This window comes from Homo sapiens, chromosome 20 (genome assembly GCF_000001405.40).
Source record: "Homo sapiens chromosome 20, GRCh38.p14 Primary Assembly".
NCBI classification, from domain to species: Eukaryota; Metazoa; Chordata; class Mammalia; order Primates; family Hominidae; genus Homo; species Homo sapiens.
In genome coordinates, this window is record NC_000020.11 from 24644794 (window position 1) to 24667646 (window position 22853).

General features: G+C 49.7%; 1 protein-coding gene across 11 annotated transcripts in view; it reads left to right on the forward strand.

Moving 5' to 3' along the window:
* SYNDIG1 (synapse differentiation inducing 1) overlaps positions 1-21823 on the forward strand; it is a 196988-nt gene extending 175165 nt beyond the window's left edge. For 7 of the 11 annotated variants that reach the window (NM_001323606.2, NM_024893.3, XM_017028066.3 and 4 more), the window contains one exon: positions 20553-21823. In NM_001323606.2, coding sequence (NP_001310535.1) covers positions 20553-20711 — 159 coding nt within the window. In that variant the 3' untranslated portion in view covers positions 20712-21823. Of the gene's footprint in view, positions 1-1787; positions 1870-15159; positions 15475-17653; positions 18276-20552 lie in introns of those variants that run through there. The other 4 variants (NR_147606.2, XM_047440499.1, XM_011529356.4 and 1 more) reach the window with 4 other exon arrangements.
* Positions 21824-22853: the final 1030 nt, after the last annotated feature.

The window sequence follows — 22853 nt, forward strand, 5'->3', positions numbered from 1 at the left end:
AGTGGTGGTTGTCTTAAGCCACTGGGGTACTTAGCCACAGAACAATAGATCACCAGAACACTCACTACTGTGTCCTAGGTACTGTTCTGAAGACTGGTGTATATTAACACCCTAGTACTTTCAAAGACCCCATGACACAGTAACTCATTATCTTCAGCTTACAGATGAGGAAATTGAAGCACAGAGAAGGAAACTTGTAGAAAGTCACACTACAGTGAAGCAATGGGTTTGAAACCGGTCAGTCTGACCCTGGAAAAATGCTCTTACATTAGCAAAAATGCTTGAGAGGCAGTTTGGGAAGGAACTGTTAGAGAAATTAAAGTTACCAAGCGTGCCTCCTGGGATCCATCTGCAGCCAAATGAATGATGTGGCGGTGCACTGCTCTCTCCTGGTGGTGAAGTGAGCCTCCTGTTGGAATGAGGAAGCCAAACTGTCCTTAAGGATCTTGCCACATTCCAGGCAAAACACCCATGTTAATTACTTTTTTCATAATTATTTCAATGGGAAGCATCTGCACCCAGTTGGGCCTAGATAATCTGAGTAGGAACACAGCTCGTTTACCCACAACTCGAGATGAGCAGACCAAATAGCTGGTTTTCCAACCATTAGACGAGAGCCCACGCTGCCGGATAGGATGCTGATGGCTGCATTGGTGCCACAGCTGTGGCTGTGGCTCTCACTGAAACAGCTCAGCAAGGAAAACTGGCACAGGGCTCCAGAGAAAAGAGGGAGAGAGGACAACGGAGAGTGAAAGAGGGAAGTGAGGGGGGAAGACTGCCTCGGTGTGTGCAGTGAGCTCTCAGCTTTGAGCCCTCTGGGCGAATCCACTGTCTGGACCAGCAGATGATCCTGCTGTCCCCTCACCTCACCAGCTGCAGGTCTGCACCCAGGCTATACCTGGGCTGAGAGAGGCGGAGGCTGGGCTAGGGGGAGACTCATACTACCAGTATATGTGGCTACCATCTGATTAATCTTGTATTCACAGGCTGAAAATGCTCAGCAAATCATTTGATATCATCTCAACAGTCCTAGGAACCAAAATATTCAAATCTTGGTTCTCTCCTCCCTAACACAGTGGGCTCTAGAGAGAACACCTGGTGCTGGCCAGCTACAACAATGGTTTGCAGGAGTCAAGGCACCCTTCTCGCCTGGATAGAAGCCAAGCTTGTGCTTCCCGTGGGAATGTGATCATGTAACCTTGTCCCACACAGAGCCACCTCCATCCACCTGGAGAGAGGAGAGCTGGAGCATGCACTTGCCCAGGAAGCCCCCAGTTCACATCTGAGCCCCTCTTCAGTCAGATTTTATGTCAGGGTAGAGACCTGCCCTTTCAAGTCCAGCATCTCATTTTGAAGCCCCACATGCAGCTCTGAGGAAACCATGCATGTTCCTCCAATGCCTAGAGGACTGTGGACAGACCAGGGAACATGCACACATTACAGTAAGCAACACTGCCTATACACATCAGTGATTTCCCAGTGACTGCTCCAGGGGGCTAGGCGACTGCTATGGCTTAGGTGTTTGTCACCTCCAAACCTCATGTTAAAATTTGATCTCCAGTGTGGCAATATTGGGAGATGGGGCCTGGTGGAAAGCCTTTGGGTCAAGGGGGCAGATCTCTCACGAGTAGATGAATTCCGTCCCTTGGGTGTGAGGGAGCTCTGTCTCTATTAGCTCCTTCGACAGCTGCCTGTTAGAAAGAGCCTGGCACACCCCACTTCCTCTCTCACCACATGATCTCTGTGCATGCATACCGCTTTCAAGTCTCTCCTTCTACTTTTTGCAGTGAGTCGAAGCAGCCCGAGGTCCTCACCATATGCAGATGCTCAGTATTTTTTTTTTTTTGAGATCCACTCTCACTCTGTCACCGAGGCTGGAGTACAGTGGCGTGATGTCGGCTCTCTACAATGTCCGCCTCCTGAGTTCAAGTGATTCTCCTGCCTCAGCCTCCTGAGTAGCTGGGACTACAGGTGTGCACCAACACTCCCAGCTAATTTTTGCATGTTTAGTAGAGTGGAGTTTCACCATGTTGGCCAGGCTGGTCTCGAACTTCTGACCTCAGGTGATCCACCCACCTCAGCCTCCCAGAGTGCTGAGATTACAGGCATGAGCCACCAAGCCCGGCTGATGCTCAGTCTTGAATTTTCCAGCCTACATAGTTATGAGCCAAATAAACCTGTTTTCTTGATAAACTATTCAGCCTCAGGTATTCTGTGATAGCAACACAAAATGGGCTAAGACAGCGACCCTCACGTAGTCTTTTGAATCTTTTTCTCTCGAGTTCAATACAAGAGAATTTCCTGTCTTTCCTTTGGAATTCATTCCAAACAAGCACATTCTTGTTAGCTTGCACCTGACAGTCAGCACTTCATTAGAAGGTCTAAGTAAAGAAGTCAATATAGATATACTTTTAATTTTGCATCTTGCTCCCAACCAGGGAACCGAGGGAACTAAACAGTGGAGAACCATATGAACACACAGGCAGGGCAGGGTACATGGCAGCACTTTCTCAGTGGCTTGAAACCTGTTTCCCTGGAGCTGACACAGGGCAGTGCATGCGGCAGAATCGGGGGAATCTGCTTTGGGTACATATGCCATCAAGTCACGCTTCAGAGGCAAGTTTCTTCTCAGTAGGAAAAGGAAATGTGGTATTATACGAACATCCTCTTTGAGCCAAACACTTTCTTTGGGAAGGGGAATGGTGGATATCCCAAAGTGCGGCACAGGGGATGGGGGCTCACAGGCATCCATGGAAAAGGAGAGGCACTTGTCAATTTCGTGTGGAAATATCAGGATAGCCCTGAAACAGCAGCTTTCAAGGAACCAGATGGAGCAGGTGACACCATGACACATTTCAGAGAATAATCCCAGTTAAGAAGGCCCAGCAAGCTGGAACCTGTTTTCCAAAGGAAAGTGCCCTTTTTCATTTGAGATAAAAAGCTCAGGAAATGGGTGGATTTTTTTTCCAGCAACTAGATACACGCAAGGGAGTATTGTGAAAAGTTGGGGACAGACTGAGCAGCACATCAGTCAGACTGAGCTGCTGTCACAAGTTACTGTGGACTAGGTGGTTTAAGCAGTGGCCATCTGTTTCTCACAATTCTAGAGGCTGGGCATCTGAGATCAGGGTACTAGCACGGTCAGGTTCTGGGGAGGGCTCTCTTCCAGGCTGCAGATGGCCACCTTCTCCCTGTGTCCTCACTAGTTTGCAGAGAGAGAACTCCTGTGTCTTCTGTTCTTAGAAGGGTACTCATCCCATCCTGAGGGTTTCAGCCTCATGACCTCATCCAAACCCAGTCACCTCCCAATGGCTCCACCTTCTAATACCATCTCATTGGAATTAGGGCTTCAATATATGAAGTTGGGGGGTGGGGTGGTACACATACATGCAGTCCATAGCAGTTTGGCTCGCAGACATGCCTCTGGGCAATGAAGAAGCAAACTCAGCTTCACTGAAGCCCCTCTCTTGAAGTGGGCACTTTTCCTTTTAAGACAGGAGGTTTGTGGAGGTTTATGATCTGCTGCCATTGCCCTGCAGGGTGTGTCCTGGTGTCACCAAGGATCTGAGGACATACAAAGCATGTGGCACCTTCCCAGTGTGTCCACTCTGACTACTGAATCTTCATTTCACTTGACTATAGAGTAAGTTCTGAGGCCTGACTTCCTTTGTCTCACTGTATCATCACACATTTCGGGTTAGTTCAGGCCAGGAATTCTTGCAGCAGGCAAATAAAAATCTGAAGGAGTGGAACTAGGAGTGCACACCCCTGGTTTCCAGTGTCCAGTCTGAAAGCAGGGAGGTTCCCCAGGGAGAGGCCAGCAGGGCCAGCAGGGAGCCCAGCACCAGACTGACAAGGGCTGCCTCCCTGCTTCAGAGGCAAACAGTTTTTGGAAGTTGCTAAGCAACCCATCTTCTTAGAAGGAGCCAAGTGTTAGAAACGAGTGCCCAAGCCAAGTGCAGCAACACAGAGGCCAAGCCACAGCAGCCAGATTCCATTTCAGCAGTCAGCATTGGGATGCTAACAGCTGGTGGAGGCCGGCGTCTGCAGAGGACACTATTGCTATATTCATGTTACCAGCATGCTGCTTGAATTTCTGTTGGAAAAGGTACTGATTCTTATTATTCAGTTATATCTTGGATATATCCTTCATTCATGTCATCCAGGTGCAAGGTGCGATGTTAAGTGTTGAAAAAAGGTGAGCAAAAAGGTGACCTATGCTCCCTTGGGGATTATGGTCTAGTGGGGAAATGAACATTCACTTAGTAAGTGTCATGAATGCAAAGTTCTGTGAAAGCATGGTGCAGGGAAGCATGACCTGAACCAGGGGCCAAGGAAGCCTCCCCCAGGGACTGGATGCTTGTGTGAGATCAGGAGACATCCTGTTGAGGAGATGGGCAGGGTGCCCTACAGCTGAAGGGGAGCCACCTGGAAGTAACAGTTCTGCTTTGGGTGGACACTCAGCTGACCATCGTTTTTATGTTTACTCCCCTCATTCAGTTTATAATTTTCTTTGGTGGTTCCATTGAGATCTAAGATTTTCTTTCCCCTGCTGGAAATCTATGAGCTCTAGTTTATGAAATTGTCATCATCCTTAGCAACGATCTTTGTGTTTTATTGGGTTTGAGTGCTGGATCCATTTATAGTTTAACTTCTCAGCGGGGCTCTTGCACACGTGTATCTATAAACTCAGGGCCCATACCTATAGTTAGCCTGACTTGAGGTCTCGATTGCTCACTTACAGTCCAGGACAGACACAAAGCTTACTCGCTGGTTTATTAATATGGGGTGGAGACTGGGGAATTTCTAGTCCTCTCTCATGGAAAGAACTCTTTGAGGCTATGGGATTTATGCATGAGTTCTCCCCTGACCAAACACCACGTCCTGTCTCCCCTCAAAGCATTAGAAACTCAGCCACACACCCCCAGTCCTGTTTCCTGAAAGTGAATTACCCATGGACTACATGGTTTCTGTGCCTTCTCAGTGAAAGGGGTCACCCATGTCATCCCAGTTGGCCATCTTGCTGGAATGAAAGACCTATCATATTTCACAGATAAACACCAGTGACAGTACCAAATGTAAAAGACTTTATTTAAAACAGGAAAATATTAAAATAGAAAATGCAAATAAAACTAATTCAAATGCAGGAAGCCATTGCTCCCTATGGCATACACTCATCTTTAATACATTTTGTGCAACAAACAGATGGATCGCATGGGCATGGGAGGGCCAAGAAACACAGCTCTCCTGTGTCAGCCAGGCCCTGGGTCACAGTTACCTACTAACCCAAAATAGGGGTAGCATGCAGGCAGCAGGGCACTGGGTGTGGTTCAGAAAGCAAGTTCCACTCTGTGAGTGTGCGTCTGTTGCTTACACTTTCTCAGTCTTCGTTGTCTTATCTATAACGTGTCATCCTGACCAGTCCCCAAGGCTGTTGTGAAAGCAAACTCATAAAGAGTGAACCAGCTAGAAAGCAGCGTTTGTACAAATGCTGTGTCTGCCTTCCAGGAGGCACCACGTTTATAAACAGAAATCTGCAAGTTTGCCAGCTGCGCTAGAAATAAATGGCCCATCCAGTTTGTGCTGAGCCCTCCAACCATAGTGAGCTGTCCATCCTCAGTCCACATGGCACGTATCTGCCTGTGTGCTCCCACGCAGTCATCACGTACGTAGTCAGCACCATGGAGCCAAATGAAACAAATGGTTTGCAGAAACATTTCCATTCTTTTTTTTTCACTTGAATTAAAAAAGATTCAACCTTGTATGTTGTACAAATTCTCCATGTGAGAAAAACGTCCCTCTCTGTACCTTAAGCACTGGGTCTCAGAATTCAGAGCACCAGCCCAGCCTCCCAGCTAGGACAGCGTTCCAGCGTGCTCTTGCCAGCTGTAATGGTTCTGCAGTATGCGTGGAAATGGACTGTTTGATCGTGTGAAAACAAATGTGTGTTTCTTGAAAATGCAATGTATCTTGTACTTCTTACAGCTCACTTCTGGCTCCCAAGGGCTCCCAAGGACCACGCAATGACTCTTATTTCTTGTTTCTTTCTTTTTTTTTTTTGAGACAGAGCCTCACTCTGTAGCCCAGGCTGGAGTGTAGTGGTGCGATCTCGGCTCACTGCAACCCCCGCCTCCAGGGCTCAAGCAATTCTCCTGAGTGAGCTTCCCAAGTAGCTGGGATTACAGGTGCGCACCACCATGTCTGGCTAGTTTTTTTGTATTTTCAGTAGAGATGGAGTTTCACCATGTTGCCCTGGGTAGTCTCGAACTCCTGAGCTCAGGCAATCCATCTGCCTCTGCCTCCTTATATTCATATGTGTATTTGTTTTTATCATGTTTCCTTATCACTTCAGCTTGTTTGTGTTTGCTCACATGTGTTTACTCTTAAGGCCAACACTCTTGAATTTATCTATTTTGCTTCCCTGCAAAGAGGCTGACTGTAAGCATAGATCCTTACCAGGGCCATTCCCCAAATATCATCTTAGAACCATGGCCACAGACTGCATTCAGTGCTGATAAAGGCCACAAGAATGTCACAAATGTATCTCTTGGTCATAAAGGGGATGATGCAAGAGATTGTGGGTTAATCACTATAAACTTCCCCACCAAGAGCCTATCCAAATTTCCTAAAGTTGAAGTCAGTCCTGCTACAGAAGGAGTGGCAAAGGCAGAGAAACGACCACACATGAGCCAAGTTTGTGATTGAATCAGTAAAGCACACATTGGAGTTGTTTTCACGTATATTTAAAACAAGGAAATTTACTCAGCTGTGCAGATTAGAAGTCTAATACAAAATGAGCTAAGGACGCTTCCTCTCCTGGGCCACCAGGTGAAAGGGGCGTCACTGGAGGAGAGTGGCTGTCACTGCAGTACACTAAAGGTGACCACGCATTTCTTGACCTGCTTCCTGCATCCTTTCCCCTTGAATCTGGGCTGGCCCCACTGAGCCACTCGTAACCAGTAGGACACAGCAGAAGTGATGTTCTGAGTCTCCTGTGGCTGATAACCAGGAGAAACTTGCAGCTTCCCCCTGCAACACTCACCCAGAGCCCTGAGCTGCCACACAGGAAGTTCAGCTAGCAGTGACCACCGTGCTGGAGAGGCCAAGGCACCAGGTGTGAGTGGAGCCATCTCAGGCACCCCAGGGCAGTCCAGACACCAGTGACCCCACATCAGGTGACCCTGTTAATGCCATATGGAGTAGAAAAGTCTCCCAGCTGGTCTGATCTGAATTCCTGACCCACAAATTATGAGACAGAAAAAAATGGTTGTTGTTCAAGCCACCAGGCTTTGGAACCATTTGTTACCAGCAGTAGATAATTAGAAGAGTCACTGCTCCCCACAGAGGGGTCATCTTTGCAGAATGATGCATGAGCACTCGGGTTGCATCCAGGAAATGGGATTGACGGGAAAGCCAGACAGAGGCGTTGAAAGGGAAGCATTAACAAGCTGAGGCTCCCCCCAGCAAGTGAGATGCAAGGTGAGGCCAAAGACACGCCTGTCCCTAGTCTCTGCTCAAAATTCTCTTCCTCCTGGAACCTCCTAATTTTGTTTTCAGCTACCAGGATTCACCCCTTATCCCAGGCTGCCTTACCGAGGAACGTTCACAAAACTTATATGAGCTCCTCCACCATAACCTACAAGTCAGAAGGGCCATCAGAAGAGGCTTCTGCCTGTCCTACGCTGGGCTCTGGTCCAGCCCTCGGCCTGCTCATGGTTGGCTGTGACTCCAGTAAGTTTAACAGTTTCCAAGTGACCAAATGTGATTCTTCATTCAGCCGACTGTGATATAGGAAAATGGAAACATGACAAAGCAATTGTTTGAGACACAGCAGATGACACCAGTGCTGCACCCGTATTCCCTTGGCACTCATGGCTCTAACTGCAAATACCTGCCCTGACTCTGTTGGAGGCTTTCTCCACTCACAGCGGGGTGCCCAGCCATGTGCAGGGGAGGGCCAGAAATGTGGGGAGGTGAACACACGGGAGCAGCCCTCAAGCAGTGGTGGAGGAGACTGGGGCTACATAATCCAGACTCCTTGCTCCTGGAGGGGAGCCCCTGGGAATACTCTTCCAGATGTCTGCAGTGGGGCTGACACAGCCACCCCCTGCTCATTAACCCGCCCTGCAACAGCTCCTCTGCCTCCCTATCTCACCTCTCTACCTTCTTAATGGCACTTCTGGGATCACCTCCAAGGAAGCTGCTTGTCTCCCTACCCTTGTCTCAGAGTCACCTCTGGACCCCGCCTAAGCTGGAAAGACATTAAGTAAAAAGGGATCAGTTTCTAGTGGCACTTGAACATGTGTGTTATGTCACCTCCTTCATAAAATCTTTATTTAAGTTATGGTAAAAGAATAAGATGTGAAACCATGAAGGAAAAGAGAATGGACGTGGAGCAACAAGAAACAGAGATGTCAGCACGTTTTGGAAGATGAAAGCGCACGGAGGAGTGGTGATCATGCAGTGTGGCTGAGTCTGCAAGCCCCCATGACAACAGCAGCAGGAATCAGCCAGTCCACTCCACCACCACCGTGAGGAGGCAGGGCTGGGAGCTCCAGGTGTGAGGCAAGACATGGCGAAGACATCCACCTGAAAGCAGTGCATTTCTAAGTTGTAATCGGTAAAGCACCCAGTCCTGTGTCCCATCTTCAGGGCTTAGTGGCAGACGTTTCTTAATCCCAGCAGGAGACCAGTCAGAATGCCTCCAGCCTTGGTGACTCAGGGCACAGTGAGGAGTGAGAGCAGACCAAAGTCCACAGCATGGTGAGCAGCAGGGCCCGGCCCCTCTAATGCCCAGGCCCCAGTGCTCCTTAGCCCCCCTGGCTCTTACCCCAAGGCAGGAAGTTAGGGGATTTATCCCTGGAGAAACTGAATGTCTCTATGTTAGTCTTCTAGGGCTGCCATAACAAAATGCCAGACTGAGTGACTAAACAACGGAAATTTAACTCTGTCAGCTCTGGAGGCTGGAAGCCTGAGGTTGGCAGGGCTGGATTCTCCTGAGGCCACTCTCCTTCATGTGGCCGCCTTCTTGCTGCGACTTCACGGGGTCATCCCTCGGTGTGGTCTGTGTCCCTGTCATCTCTTCCTGTAAGGACACCACTCATGTCAGATTAGGGCCCATCCTAACAATGCCATTTAAACTTACTCACCTCTTTAAAGGCCCTATCTTCAAATACAGTCACATTCTGAGGTACTGGGGGCCAGGATTTCACCGTATAATTTTGGGGGAACAAAATTCAGCCTATAATAGTCCTCAGAGAAAAGACCAATGTACAATGTATGCTGTTGTACAGAAGCTAAAGAAATCTGAAAGACAGCTTGCAGCCTAATCAATACTATGGAAAATCTCACCAGTTAATCAGTGCCATATATGCAGAGCATCTGATTGGCCTGTTGGTGATCTTTAATGTTAAATAACAGCCAGTGATTTCCTGACACTTGAGAGCGCCTCTACCATGGAAAAAAAAAAATGAAACCTGAACAAATGGGTGAGGGTCAGGGGAAGGATTCTGATTGATAGAGAGACAAAGCAGGAAGTAGAAAGTGTCTTTCAAAAAATCTATAGAGTTAATATTTTCAGAGAGATAAGGAATGAAATCAACTTCCTGAAATCAAAAAGGAAAGTTGTGTAAAAGCAAAAGTGAGAGAACAAAAAGAGTAAACAAAAGGAAATTAAGGAATATGATAGCCAAATACTATCCCATAGAAGGCTTGGAGAACGATTGAGGAAATGATCCATAAAGTGCAACAAAAGGAGAGAGGTGGACAATGACAAAAGCAAGCAAGAGAAAGGAAGACAGAGAGAAAGAAAGGAGAGAAGGAAGAGAGGGAGGGAGGAAGGAGAGAGGGAGGGAGGGAGGAAGGAAGGAAGGAAGGAAGGAAGGAAGGAAGGAAGGAAGGAAGGAAGAGTTAGAGAATTCACTGAACATCAAAGCCCTTCAAATCAACATTTTAGAACACCCAGGTGGCAGGGGACTCCACCAGAGCTTCCAGAGAGAAGGAGCAGCTGCAGCAGTGAAGGGGTATAAAGATGATGCTAGACCTGTTGACAGAATTGGAAGTGAGAAGAGTATGGGGCAAGGCTTTCAGAAGTCCAAGGAAAAAAATCATTTCCAAAGTGGAATTCTATACTTTTCCCAACTGTCAGTCAAACATGGCAATAGAATATGGCCATTTGCAGGCACGCAGAGTCTGCCACCCACGCATGATGTTCCGAAGCCTTCCGCGGTGTGTGTTGCAGGGACAAGCTTTCCTGAGACAAGGCCTGGGGTCTAGGAAACAAAAACTGTAACGTCAAAGGGAAGCAAAACAAATTTCCAAAGTGAGGCATCAAAGAGCAATCAGCTTCAATTGGAGCAGAACACCAGGAGTGTGAACGCCAGGAGGAAATAAGAAGGAATTAATAGATTATCTGATATGTTTGATTATAGCCTGAAAAAATGTATTGAGAGGGTATTAATGGGTGTGGTAAAAACTATAGCAACTGAAGCCAGAAGAAAAGAGGCATAAACCAGTGCACTTGGCTTAGCAGTGAACACAAAGTACGTAGTCAAAATAATGACCATATTAGGGGATGAAGGAAGGGAGAGGTGACAAAGTGGGTAGGGACAGAGGTTTCCAAGAAAGCGAACTCTTCATCCACCACAATAGTCGGTCAGTGATAGGTAGTTGACAAATTGATAAATCAAGAAATTAAATATGTTTAACTCCTTAAGAAAGAAGTAAATACCAGATGGATCCACTAACAAAGTTCAAAATGTGCCTTTGGGAAAGAGCCTCAGAGGTAGAGAAGTATCCAAAGACATTGCTGCTGGTGTTTTACTTTATACTATACACCTTTTGGTGTCATGTATTTTACCAAACACTGTGAACATATTCCTTTGATGATAAAAACTATTTTAGAAACTAAATATATACATACACTTATCAGCAATTCTACTCCTAGCTATATGACCTAGCAGAAATACATCTGTATACTCATCAAAAAAAAAAAAAAAAGACTAGAATGTTCATAGCAGAGCTATCCATAGTAGCCCAAAACTAGAAACTATTCAGATGCTTTTCCCCAGGAGAATGGACGAATAGACTGCATTGCATTCCTGCAACAAGAGCCTAGTGAACGGATGGTCCATCACTGCACACACAGGGGTGAGTCTCACACCCAGAGCAGAGGAGTCAGACACCATCGTGCGTGTACTATGGGACCTATAGGGAGTTCCAAAGCAGGCAAACAGAATCTGGGCTGTTGTAATTCAGCAAAGTGGGCACCGCTGAGGATGAGGGACAGTGAGGGGGCACAGGAAGGCCTTGGGGGTTATACGGTGCTGTTCTTAGTGCCAATGGCTGGTTACATATGTGGTGGGGCTTCACTAAGCTGTGTACTGATGCACAGAGCACTTCTCTATGAGTGTTCCACTTGGTATACAGTCATATGGGAGATGTATATCACATTTTAAAGAAGAATGAAGGGCACAGGAAAAGTCAGTATGAAGTGTGTGACCATTTACTGCTATTTGGATCTGACGAATAAGGAGAGTGACAGTTGTCAGTCCCACTGATTCTAGCCGTAATTCTGATTTAATAATAGAATATCTCATGATTTTAGGATCCTTCCTGTTCCTAAACGGCCTGCATGCTGGACCCCGTGGTGCCCTGAGGAAAGCAGGCGTGCTGAGGGGCACTGGTGAGGAGGGCCAGGAGGCGTTTGCAGAAGGTGGGCTGCTGGGGTGGACCCAGCTACTCACCTGGAGGAAGGTGAAGCACCGTGGGCAGCCCCATTAGCATTCAGAGGGCACCAGGATGCAGGACCGAGCTGAAGCCACCCAGACACAGAAATCCACTTCCTGGACCAGATCACAAGTGCGCCTCGCCCTCCTCAGGGGCTCCCATCTCTGCTTCGCTTCCTCCTGAGCTCTGCGTGCTCGCACTTGAGCAGTGCCAGCCCCGCAGCCCCCTCCCTCTCAGGCAAGCTAAGCCTGAATCTGTGAGAAACCAAGGCTGGCTTCTCCCTGGCCAGGGCCAGATGTTTATCCCCTCCGAATCTCATATTGAGATGTAACCCCCAGTGTTGGAGTTGGGGCCTGGTGGGAAGTGTTTGGGTCCTGCGGACGGATCCCTCATGGCTTGGTGCTGTCCTCAAGACATTGAGTGCTCTGAGATCTGGTTGAGTAAAAGTGTGTGGCCCCTCCTATCCCTTGTTCTCACACCCCTGCTCTGGCCCTGTCACAGGCTTGCTCCTGTTTTTACTTCCTCCATGAGTGAAAAGTCCCTGAGGCCTCCCCGGAAGCCGAGTAGATGCTGGCGCCATGTTTCCTGTACAGCCTCCAGAAGGATGAGCTACTTAAATCTCTTTTCTTTATAAAGTTACTCGGCCTCAGGTATTCCTTTATAGCATTGCAAGGAGGGCCAAACACAGCCAGCAAATGGAGTAAATGATAGCAGCTGCCCGGTCCAGCAGCAGCCTGGTGCAGCAGCCGCAGTTCCCGTGTATGTTTACGATGTTGTTATATGGTGATGTCTGTAAATTGAGATCCACAGAAGGGGCTGGCCTTGAGGACAAGGACACTCAAGAAGCCTCCCTGGGAGGAAGTCCCCTCCCTTGGATGTAGTGATTCAGACCAGCAGGAGGCGGAGGGGATCGGCGCCAGCACCCAGGCGGTGACCTAGCCTTCCTCTGGTGTTTGAGTTGGGTTGTAACCAACACAGTCTGTACATTTGGTTTCACAGTCCATCTCCTCCCTGCCATTTAGACCTAACTAACATCAGAAGATTTATTTTTTTTAATGGCTTAAAATATAAGGGTTGTTAAAAAGGCAGGGGTCATAAAAATAGACCTGGGCCTAAATACATGCAGGCAACAAACGTGTGTTGGGGGGTCTGCGTGTGAGACCCTTTGCCTGAGAAGCCTCCCGTTCCTATAGTTGCTGTTCAGCTTCTCTTACTATCATTAAGAATATTGAGCCTGCCTCTTTGTCGAGTACAGCTCTCAGTACCTTGTCAGTGCACAGCAAACATTAGATGATGATAAATAATGGAAATAACCTTTACAATAATGCAAAGAAATGTAATCCAGCCAGACAGGTATCGGTACTGGAAAGAAAATGAACCATAAAACACCCATGGTGGAATACATTTCCAGATAAATAGTTCGGGAGGCAGCCAGTGTCTTGCGGAAGCCTGTCCCAGATCTCGGGAGGCAGGTGTCTGGCGAGGGCATAACTGCTGAGGACCCCCAGCTGTGCTGGCCCCGGTCCATGGATGACGGGGACTGTGGAAACAGCGACCTTGCCCCTAAAAACTGACTGCAGGAGAAACAATGCAGCCGGGGTAGACCTCAGAAAACGTCATGATTTTTCCAAAACCTCAAACGACAGTGGGTATTTTCCAGCCAAAGGACAAGCAAAAGCTCATTGGAAACTCCATGAAGAGCGAAGAGAAATGGCAGCCTGTGGGTCCTGGCCTGTCTGAGACAGCCCAGAGCCCAGCACTTCAGACATCTCCAGGGTGTCTCGGGGAAAGGCAGGTAGTGACGCGGCAGGGGACTGGAGCTCGGTGGAGTGGACTCTGCCTCGGGGTCACTGAGAACTGGGTCCCTGATGGCCGGTGCTCCTCCCCGTGACAGATTCCACACAGGAGCTGCAGGCCGTGGACCCCTGAAGTGGACAGGCGCTCTGGCCGTACCCTGGGGGGTGAAAGCCCTTCCCCAGTGACCTGCAGGTTTCGAGGGGCTTCCCCCTCCCACGGTCACCCCTGTGTCCTTCATCTTGCAGCCGTTTCATTATCTCCACCCTGACATCGAACCGTGTGGAGTATGACCCCCCACCCCCACCCCCCGGCGATTCACTGAATGTGAAATAGATTCCCACGAGGCATGTGGGTGTGGAGCCTGTTTCCCAGGGGCCTGGGAAAGCCCACAAAGTGCACAGCCCGGCAACGCCCAGAGCTTCGTTTCAGGCGTTCACCACAGGCTCTTCTCCCAGCGGGGTCGTCTGCCTCGTTTTCTCCCAGATCCATGCTGTCCAGTGTGGGACCCCCAGCCATGGGTGGCTGTTTACTTTTAAATTAGTTAAAATTAAATAATATTAAAATTCGGTTCTGCAGTCACATGAGCCATGCCCCAAGTGCCATGTAGACGCAGCAAGTGGCACAGCCGAGCAGCATCTCCATCCCCAGGAGCTTCTGCACGGCTCTGATGTGGACCTTCCCTCCCCAGCTGCTGCCCGGTCTCCAACTCCTCTCACCCCCCTCCTTTCCTGGGTTACCCAGGGAGCTGCCAATCCCTCCCGTTCTGTACTGCTGAGCGTGGCATACTGCCCGAACTGGAGCCAAGTCCTCCCTGTGCCCTGTTGAGCCCACAGGGCTTCCCTTTAATAGGTGTCACTGGCCACAGAAAGAAGCACTGGACATAACTCATTCCTTTCTGGATTCGCCTGATTTCTATCTTCCTTAATAGCTTGTGGATTGCATAAAGCCAGTGACTACCGGCCATGATTTGGGGCCTGCCTGCATGGGGTTCTGCCCATCGTGGAAATGTTTCTGGAGAGCATGAGTTACCCTTGGAAACACGGTAGGGGGAAAGTCTGCCGTCCTCATCATCGTGTGGTCATGAATGACACTCCCTGGGCCCTGTCTGGGCACTGCCAGGTGTGGGTGATGTGTCCTGCATTCAGCAAAGAGGCTAGCATCAATGCTGCAGCATCCTGAGTGCTGGGTGGAGACACAAGGGCCCAGACAGGAGCCTTTCCCTTAGCAGCTGGCTGGCAAGGCCGCTGGGAAGGTACCATGGAGAAGCTGTGGCCCGGAAGATGAATAGTGTTAAAACAGTGACGGGTGATGAAACGGCCACTGCAAATACAACCAGAGAGAAGGCAAAATCAGGGAGAGGTGGGGAGAGGCCTGGAGAGGGAGCCGGGCAATACCTGCCCTTGACAGGTGCTGCCTTGTCAACGTAATTACGTTTGCATCTGTGTTCAGAGATGAAGTCAGCCTCTCAATTCCCTTTCTCTGACTTTTCTTCTCTGGTTTTGGCATCAAGATTTTACAAGTTTTATAAAATGAGTTTCTCTATTCTCTGTAGATGGTTCTTATCTGTTCATTTAATTATTGATAGAATTCATTTCTAAAGTAAGGTAGTTTTTTTTCAACTATGCTTTCTTCCAGTTACCGTTCCTTCCCAGAAGTATCCATGAACCTGTTTCCATGCCAACAGCAGAGGCAACTTGGGCCTGTTTTGTGCTGTAGATAATAGGATGCCGAGTCCGGCTTCGTTTGTTCATCACTGTGTCTCTGAAATTTATTCCATGACTATCTGGGTGTCATGACGGCTTGCCCTTCTATCGCTGGCACTCAGAGGGCTTCCAGGTCAGGGCAACCATGAGTCAGATTCCTTTGAACATTCCTACAGATGTGTTTTGTGAATACATGAATAATTCTTATTGGGTATTTACACAAATAAATGTCCACTCATTTACGGGAGTGGAATTGTTGTTGCGTGATGTATCTATATGTTCAGCTATAAGAAATGCTGACCATTTCCCCAAGTGGTGGTACCAATTTGTATCCCACCAGGAGTGCAGGGGAATTTTGGTTTTTCCACATTGTCTGTGACACTTCCTGTTGCCTCTTGGCCTTGCTGGAGGGTCCATGTACAGCATGTTCTAAGCATGGGTTGGGCATGGCTGCACACACAGCAGGCCTGGCCTCAGGAGGAAGGGCCTCCTCTCTTCCCCTCCTCCTCCCCACTCGTCAGCCACAGTGTCTGCCCCTGTGGACAAGGTGCGGTTGGCAGGAGCAGATAGGAGACAGAGATGTCACAGCCACCCCAAACTCACATTGTCACAGGAGGCTTGTGCTCTCGTACACGGCTTGCTTTCTCATCTGGGCACTTGGCAGGTTCTTCTCAGGCCCACGCTCACCTTCGCATCCCCAGCTTCAGCCTGCTGGCACAGGCCCTGTGTGTCCATCCACTTGCCCCTCAGCTGGGCTCTACTGGATAGGACCCAAGACCATGTCTGGTCCCTGGAGAACACCTAGGCCTTTGTTCCCTGCCCAGCCAGGGGCTGGTCATCTCCACAGAGCAGCACCCTCCTGGCCCCACCCCTGAGGGGGCCGGTCAGCCGCTTGCCTTTCAGAGTCTCCAGGTAGGAACCGGCTGGTCACCCGCCCGCAGTGCTGGACATGCATGGAGCCAGCAGGGTCCCATGGCAGCTGCACCCCCACAGCCTGAGTGAAAAGCAAATGCCTTCCTTCTGTGGATGGGACCCAGGCTCAGCACACCGTCAGTCCTTCAAAATGCTTCTCAGCCTCCAAACCATTTGTGGAGGCACAGGCCTTGAGGCATCTAAATTTGTTCTGCTCTCTTGTTTAGAAAATAGGCAAAGGCTGCTGGGGGTGGGGGCGGGGAGGTCCCCGTCACCATCCTAGGGTGTGTCTCTTGTGATGTGGAGCCTGGGATGGAGCTTCCAGCTGGACCTTCTGTTACAGAGCAAGTGAGCAGAAGAAAGAAGGAGGGAGGGAGGAAAGGGGAGGGAGGGAAGAGAGGGGGAGGAAGGAGGGAGAGAGGAGGGAGGGAAAACCGAGGGAAGAGGGAGGGAGGAAAGAGGGAGGAGGTAGGAAAGAAGGAGGAGTTAGGAAGGAGGGAGGAAGGAAGGAGGAAAGAGGGAGGAAGTAGGAAGGAGGGAGGGAAGAGGGAGGAAGAAGGGAGGGAGGGAAGAGGGAGGAAGGAGGGAGGGAGGAAAAAAGGAGGAAGGAGGGAGGGAGGAAAAAAGAGAGGAAGGAGGGAGGGAGGAGGGAGATGGGAATAAAAAGTAAGGAAGGGAGGAGGGAGGGAGGAGGGAGGGAGGGACTGGCCTTCAGCATGCCAGCATATGCCAAGATACATTATTGGATAAACCAGGGACCTCAGGTGGGCATGAGAAGGGGAGACACGAGGGGACTGGGCAAGGGCAGCCTGGCCACTCCCCCAACTAGAGCAAGACCTGGATCCACCAGGAGCGTCAGAAGGAAGCAGGGCCTAGAACCCACTCCCAGACCTCTCTGCCACCTTCACAAGAAGCCACTCCCTTCAGATAGAACCATTCCCCAAAATGTGACCAATGGGCAGGGTGGGGGGTTCCACCAGAGAGAATTGCTGGTGGGTTTCAGCATTAAACACTACCACCCATGGAATGCAAATTGACTTTGTCCCTCCACAAACTGGTCATTTCTCATCACGAAGCCATGACCAGCATGACCTTTACATGTGGATCAACAGCTCTCGGTCCTTTGACAGCCAGTTCCTTTGACTTGGCCACTTGATAGTGACCATTCAACCTAAGGAGGTGTGACCCAGCGGTGGTACGAGGTGGCTGGACCTCAGTTCTAACGGTGACAACTTCAGCTAAAGCACGTTTGTTCTGGCTGTCCGTCCTCTGCTTGTGTAACTTTTATTTCCTCAGTGTGAACAGCGCTGCACTTGAGGGACAGGAAGGGGGTGCTTCCATAGCTGTCATTGCTATGGCGCAAGTTTACTTTTACTCTTCAATTTAAAAATCGGGTCTTCTACATATCTTTGCAACTAGGGAAGAGAAAGCAGGTCTTTTAATTCCAGAACCGCAGTGCACAAATCATGTTCCAGTGTGGGCTGTGCAGGAGCTCAGTGCCTGGTGGGTTTCAGGTTGCAGGACATCTCCCTTGGGGGCTACGTCTGATGCCCTGCAGCCAGCCCTGCCGATGGAGCCCAGCTGCTTCCTGCGTTCTCAATGATGAGTCCTTGTGCCCTGGGCTGTTAAGGCTGTGCCTCTGCTGTGAGCTGAAACGCTTTCTCTGAAGAGCCCTTACAGTGCAGAAATAGTGTCTTTGGGTCCTGCTGAGCCCCTACCCCCAGCCCACCGCTGGCACAAGGTGCAGGCACTGGGCACTGCTTGGGGCTTCGCCAGTCACCTGCACTTTCTAACCGCCTGCACTTATTTTCCAATGAAAGGCCAATAAAGTCACAAACTTCACTTGCAACCTGTTGGCAAAAGACAGGGAAGGAAAACCAGCCACAAGAAATAACAATCTTGACAAACTTTTTTGCACCTACACACAAAGCCTTGCCTTCAGCTCAGAGACTCTTGGACTCAAGACAGTTTGCCCTGCCCTCATGCACACCAAAAATCTTGTCAAAGAGCCAGGAGCTTTCGTCCAGCAGCTGTCAGGATGGAAACGTGTCTTCCCATTTGCACCCTGCCAAAGGAATGAGCAAGCTGTTTCACAGCCACAGTTATCCATTTTCTGAGACAAAAGGTTCATATCAGGTAAATCACCTTCATTAGACCACGTTGTGTGTTTTGTGTATGTAAATGACGTCTCTGCCTTGCAGGAGTGGGCACTGCAGAAACTCTGGCTTCTATGACACGCAGATGCCGAGTGACGTTGCTGAAGGCAGCCTGCTTGCTAAGGCTGCATCTGTTTGCTGTTTCTGACATATCTCCAGCGATCAGGCCCCTAACACACCACATTCCCTAGGTTTCTTGTTAGAGCCAAACATATAAACCGGCGTATCAAGGTCCCCCAGCGTGGAGAATGAGAATAAAGAGCAAATGTGATTCTCAAGCAGACACACCAGCTTGAGCATGAGAGCTCTGGTGCGTCTATATGCAGAACCTGCAGAGTTGGGCCAGAACTGAGGTCAAGAGTCAGCCCCGTGCCACTGCCTTCCTCCTCAACACCACCAGAGAGACTGGAACTGTGCCCCAGTTAGAGAAGTATCGCATTCCTCCTGTCCCCCCAGAGCCCAGCCCAGGCCCCAGGGAGACCACAACACACAAGAGAGACATGGGCTCTGCCTTGGGGAGCTTACAAGTGAGCAGGAAGGCAACTATTCCGCAAGTGGGTACTCAGATGTGTGAGCCCTCATGAGCTCGGGAAGCCCGGCATGGGTGTTCCCACAGGGGTCAGGGAATGAATGCTGCTGGCAGGTGCCCAGTCAGCTGTAGCAGCTCCACCTTCCTCTCTGCACCCCTTTGCATAGCCCTGGGGATGGCACTAAGGCTGGTGATCATGGCGGGGACACAAAGCCATGACCCTAATGAGCAATGACTCTTTCAGTTAGCGCTAAGGAAAGGCAATTACAGGAAATTGTGTTCGAAGATGTGGGCGTGTGTGGGAGCACTGCTGCATGAAACAGACTTGGCTCACCACGACTTCATTCATTCATTCATTTATTCATTCATTGTCCTAGGAGGCTTCCCATTTTGCATCCCTTTATCTCTGCTCCCTCCAGAATTGTCCATAGTGAGCTCTGAAGCTCAGTTCCAAGACAAAAAGTTGGGGAGGAAAAAAATAAAAACTAGCTTTTAAGATCCGAAAGTTAGAGGAGCGAGAAGGAAGCCAAGCAGCGGCAGGCATCCCTTCCCCACACGACACAGACTTCCAGAGCTCAGAGACCATGGAAGATGCAGGTTCACGTCATGAGCCATCTCTGAGTGTGAGCCTTTCTGGTCCACTGCAGAGGTGTTGGTGTGTTTTAGCTGGTGTGTTTGAGTGAATGACATGCCGACTCCCATACTCACCTATAAAACCTAGTAATGTCACTGACCTTAGGTGGAAATGGGACCCGGTAGAAATCTGGCTTTCTGGAGACGGCCATGAGAACGAGCTAGGACATTCTGCCAGGGTAGTCCTGACCACAGGGGGCCCGCGGGTGGCTTGGGAGTCAACCCTCCTCAGCATCACGTGGGCTCCCGTGGCTCAGTGCTTTGGTAGCATCTCACCCCATCTGCCAAATGAGCCATTTTACTCCGGTGATCCCTCCATGGTGGCCTCCAAAACCTCCATGTTTCCATCTCCTCGTGACCCCAAGAATCATGAATTTGATTACACCAACACCTGGTCATGTCATTGAGCACTCAGGAATATAGGTGTTAGTTTTGTATCAAATGATTTTATTGATGGATGAATTTTACTAACGCCAACCATGTCCAGGGTGGGGACGGTCAGGAAGTGAATGACTCATGGCCACAGCAGGTGAGGCAGCTGAGGAGGAAGGTTTCAGGTGTCCTCCAGTGGTTTTCATGATCTTATGCCGGAGTTTCTCTCGGGGAAATGGGAACTGTCATTGCCTTCCGCACACCTCCAGTGGGTAGCAGAGATTCAATAAGATAGATAGAAATATGCTTTAGAAAATTACGAGTTATTCAAATAAACAAGCACACCATTCTTGGGTAGAAAGAGCAGCACTAGAGGAGTCTTATCTAGCCCATCCCTCAGTACTCGTGCTGGAGATCCCAGACCCCACACTGATGGAACTCAGTTGGGCTACTTCCAGCCTTCTCTTATTCCCTTGGGGCCAAGTAGAAAAGAAGTCTGTCTTCCCTGCGGTGTGGGGGAGCAGCAGCAGGCCCCAGCCCCACATTTGTTTCTTGCAGTTAAAGAACTGCCCTGGTCATAGCAGGGGTGAGCACAGTTTCCCCCTCAGCCTTCTCTGCATCAACAATGCCTTTTTCTGAATCAGGAGCCGTAGATGAGCCCTCCACTCACTGCTTGTTCCGACTTGCTTACAATGACTTCCTTTTTCTTCTCCAACTCTGCAGACCAACAAAGCCGTGGCCAAGGGGGACTTGCACCAGGCCAGCACCAGCTCCCGGCGGGCCCTATTCCTGGCAGTGCTGTCCATCACCATTGGGACTGGCGTCTATGTGGGCGTGGCCGTGGCCCTCATCGCCTACCTCTCCAAGAACAACCACCTGTGAGCTTCCTGCGAATGGAGGGGGAGCACCCGGGGCCAGGTCTGTGTGGACGTGGAGGAAGCAGGCATACCGCATGATGCTGTACAGTACAAATGATTGCCAAATGATGCCACGAAGCCCTGGGATTTCCTACCCATGGATTTATTTTGTTTTTATCCTTTAATTTCATGTTCACAGCACTGTGTAGAGCACCAGACAGACGGGCACTGCTAATCCTTCCAAAGGAAAGCTCCAAAGATCCCAGCCCGCAAGGCTGTCTCTGGATGGATTCTGGTGGATGAATGGCAACGCGGCTCTCTGCAGCCTGCCAGTGCCCAGAGTGCCACCGCATTAGCAATATACAAACAGTCCAAAAAAGTGTTTATTTTTTATGGAATACGGTGCAATAGGCAGAGGACAAGGGACACATCACTCTTCTGTCTGTGGCCCTGCTGGAGTCCTTTGTGCCCCCCGGAGTCCACACGCCTTCCCTGCAAGACGAGAATGGGGCTGGGAAGAAAGAGGCAACACCACGGCTGGCAGGAGCCCCGCTGCACTGCTCTGCAGACCCATTGGCCTGACCCTGAGAAGCAGAGCCAGCAAAGCCCGGGACCTGCCCCTCTTTCTTTCCCTTCACACCACCCCAGCCTCAGGATGTCAAGCCACCTCCGGAACGTGTCTACACTCCACAGCTACCCCGCAGCAATACGCACTCTTGGGACCTCGCTGATCTAGGATGGGGAGGCAGGCCACCGCCCCTCCCAAGACTCCTCAAGAAAGAGCCCCGCGGTTGCTCCGGAAACTCGAGGCACTGCAGCTATGGGCACTGCCTCAGCCTAAAGACACAGGGGCGCCTCCCAATCACCGCGCTGGCGGATGCTCACCCCGTCATAAGCAGAAACTAGTGATCCTGGAAATGAGATGGGCCTTACTCTGTCGACTAAATGAATAGCTATTTTCTTGTCATTTTTTAAAGTGCAACTCTTGCTTCATGCTGCTTAAGTTACCAGATGAATGCTGAGAAATAAGTAATCACAGACATTTTAATACCATTTCATTGCTGTTTTACGAGTGTTCATTACTTAACAAAAAATTATCTTTTAGCTTTTTCGCTTAAGACTTTTCTTTCTGATGAATAGCTGTCGTTGGGTTTCATTTATACTTTCCCCTTGTGGTTTAAGGAACTGCAGAGCCACCCAGGCCTCCACTGCTGAAATAGTAGGGGGGTCTCAAGGAGAACCAAAGTCCCTGCCGCTTCAATTTCCACCAGTAAATATGATCGTCCTAATCCCCTCAGTGGACACAGAGACCCCCTCTCCAGGACGGTGGCTCCACCGGCAGCACTTCGCAAATTCCTGAGGCCTGGGTCAGCCCCAGGCTGACTTGATGGGTCAGGATGTGGCCTTGTAACTGCAACGTGAAGCCAAGGTTGAGAACCACTGCCCTGGACTAAGGTCTCTGTGTTTGATCCTTCTGCCTGAAACTCTCCTCCTTGACCTTGAACATTTAATATTCTGAAAATTATTAGCACTGTCTTCTCGGGTCAAATTTGAGATCCATCTAGCATTTGTCTCTACTGGGTGGTTCACAAACACTGTAGGATGTTAACCCTAAGAAGTAGATAAGGAAGCCAGCCAACACCCCTGTAGGAGTTAGAGTCACTGGCCATGGAGGGCATAGGTTTAGGTTCAAACCAACCTGGATTTGAATCCAGCTGTGCTACTTTCTAGCTGTGTGATCTTGGGTAAAGGTTTACACCTCAGTAGGGCACAGTGGCTCACACCTGTAATCCCAGCACTTTCGGATGCCGAGGAGGGTGGATCACGAGGTCAGGAATTTGAAACCAGCCTGACCAGCATGGTGAAATCCCTGTCTCTACTAAATATGCAACAAATTAGCCAGGCATGGTGGTGGGCACCTGTAATCCCAGCTACTCGGGAGGCTGAGGCAGGAGTATCACTTGAACCCAGGAGGCGGAGGTTATAGTGAGCCGAGATTGTGGCACTGCACTCCAGCCTGGGCCAGACAGAGCAAGACTCCATCAAAAAAAAAAAAAAAAAAAAAAAGGTCTACACCTCTCTGAGCTTCGTCTCTAGGAGAGGATAATCAATAAGGCCCATTTTGAGCTTCGTCTCTTGGAGAGGCTAATCAATAAGGCCCATTTTG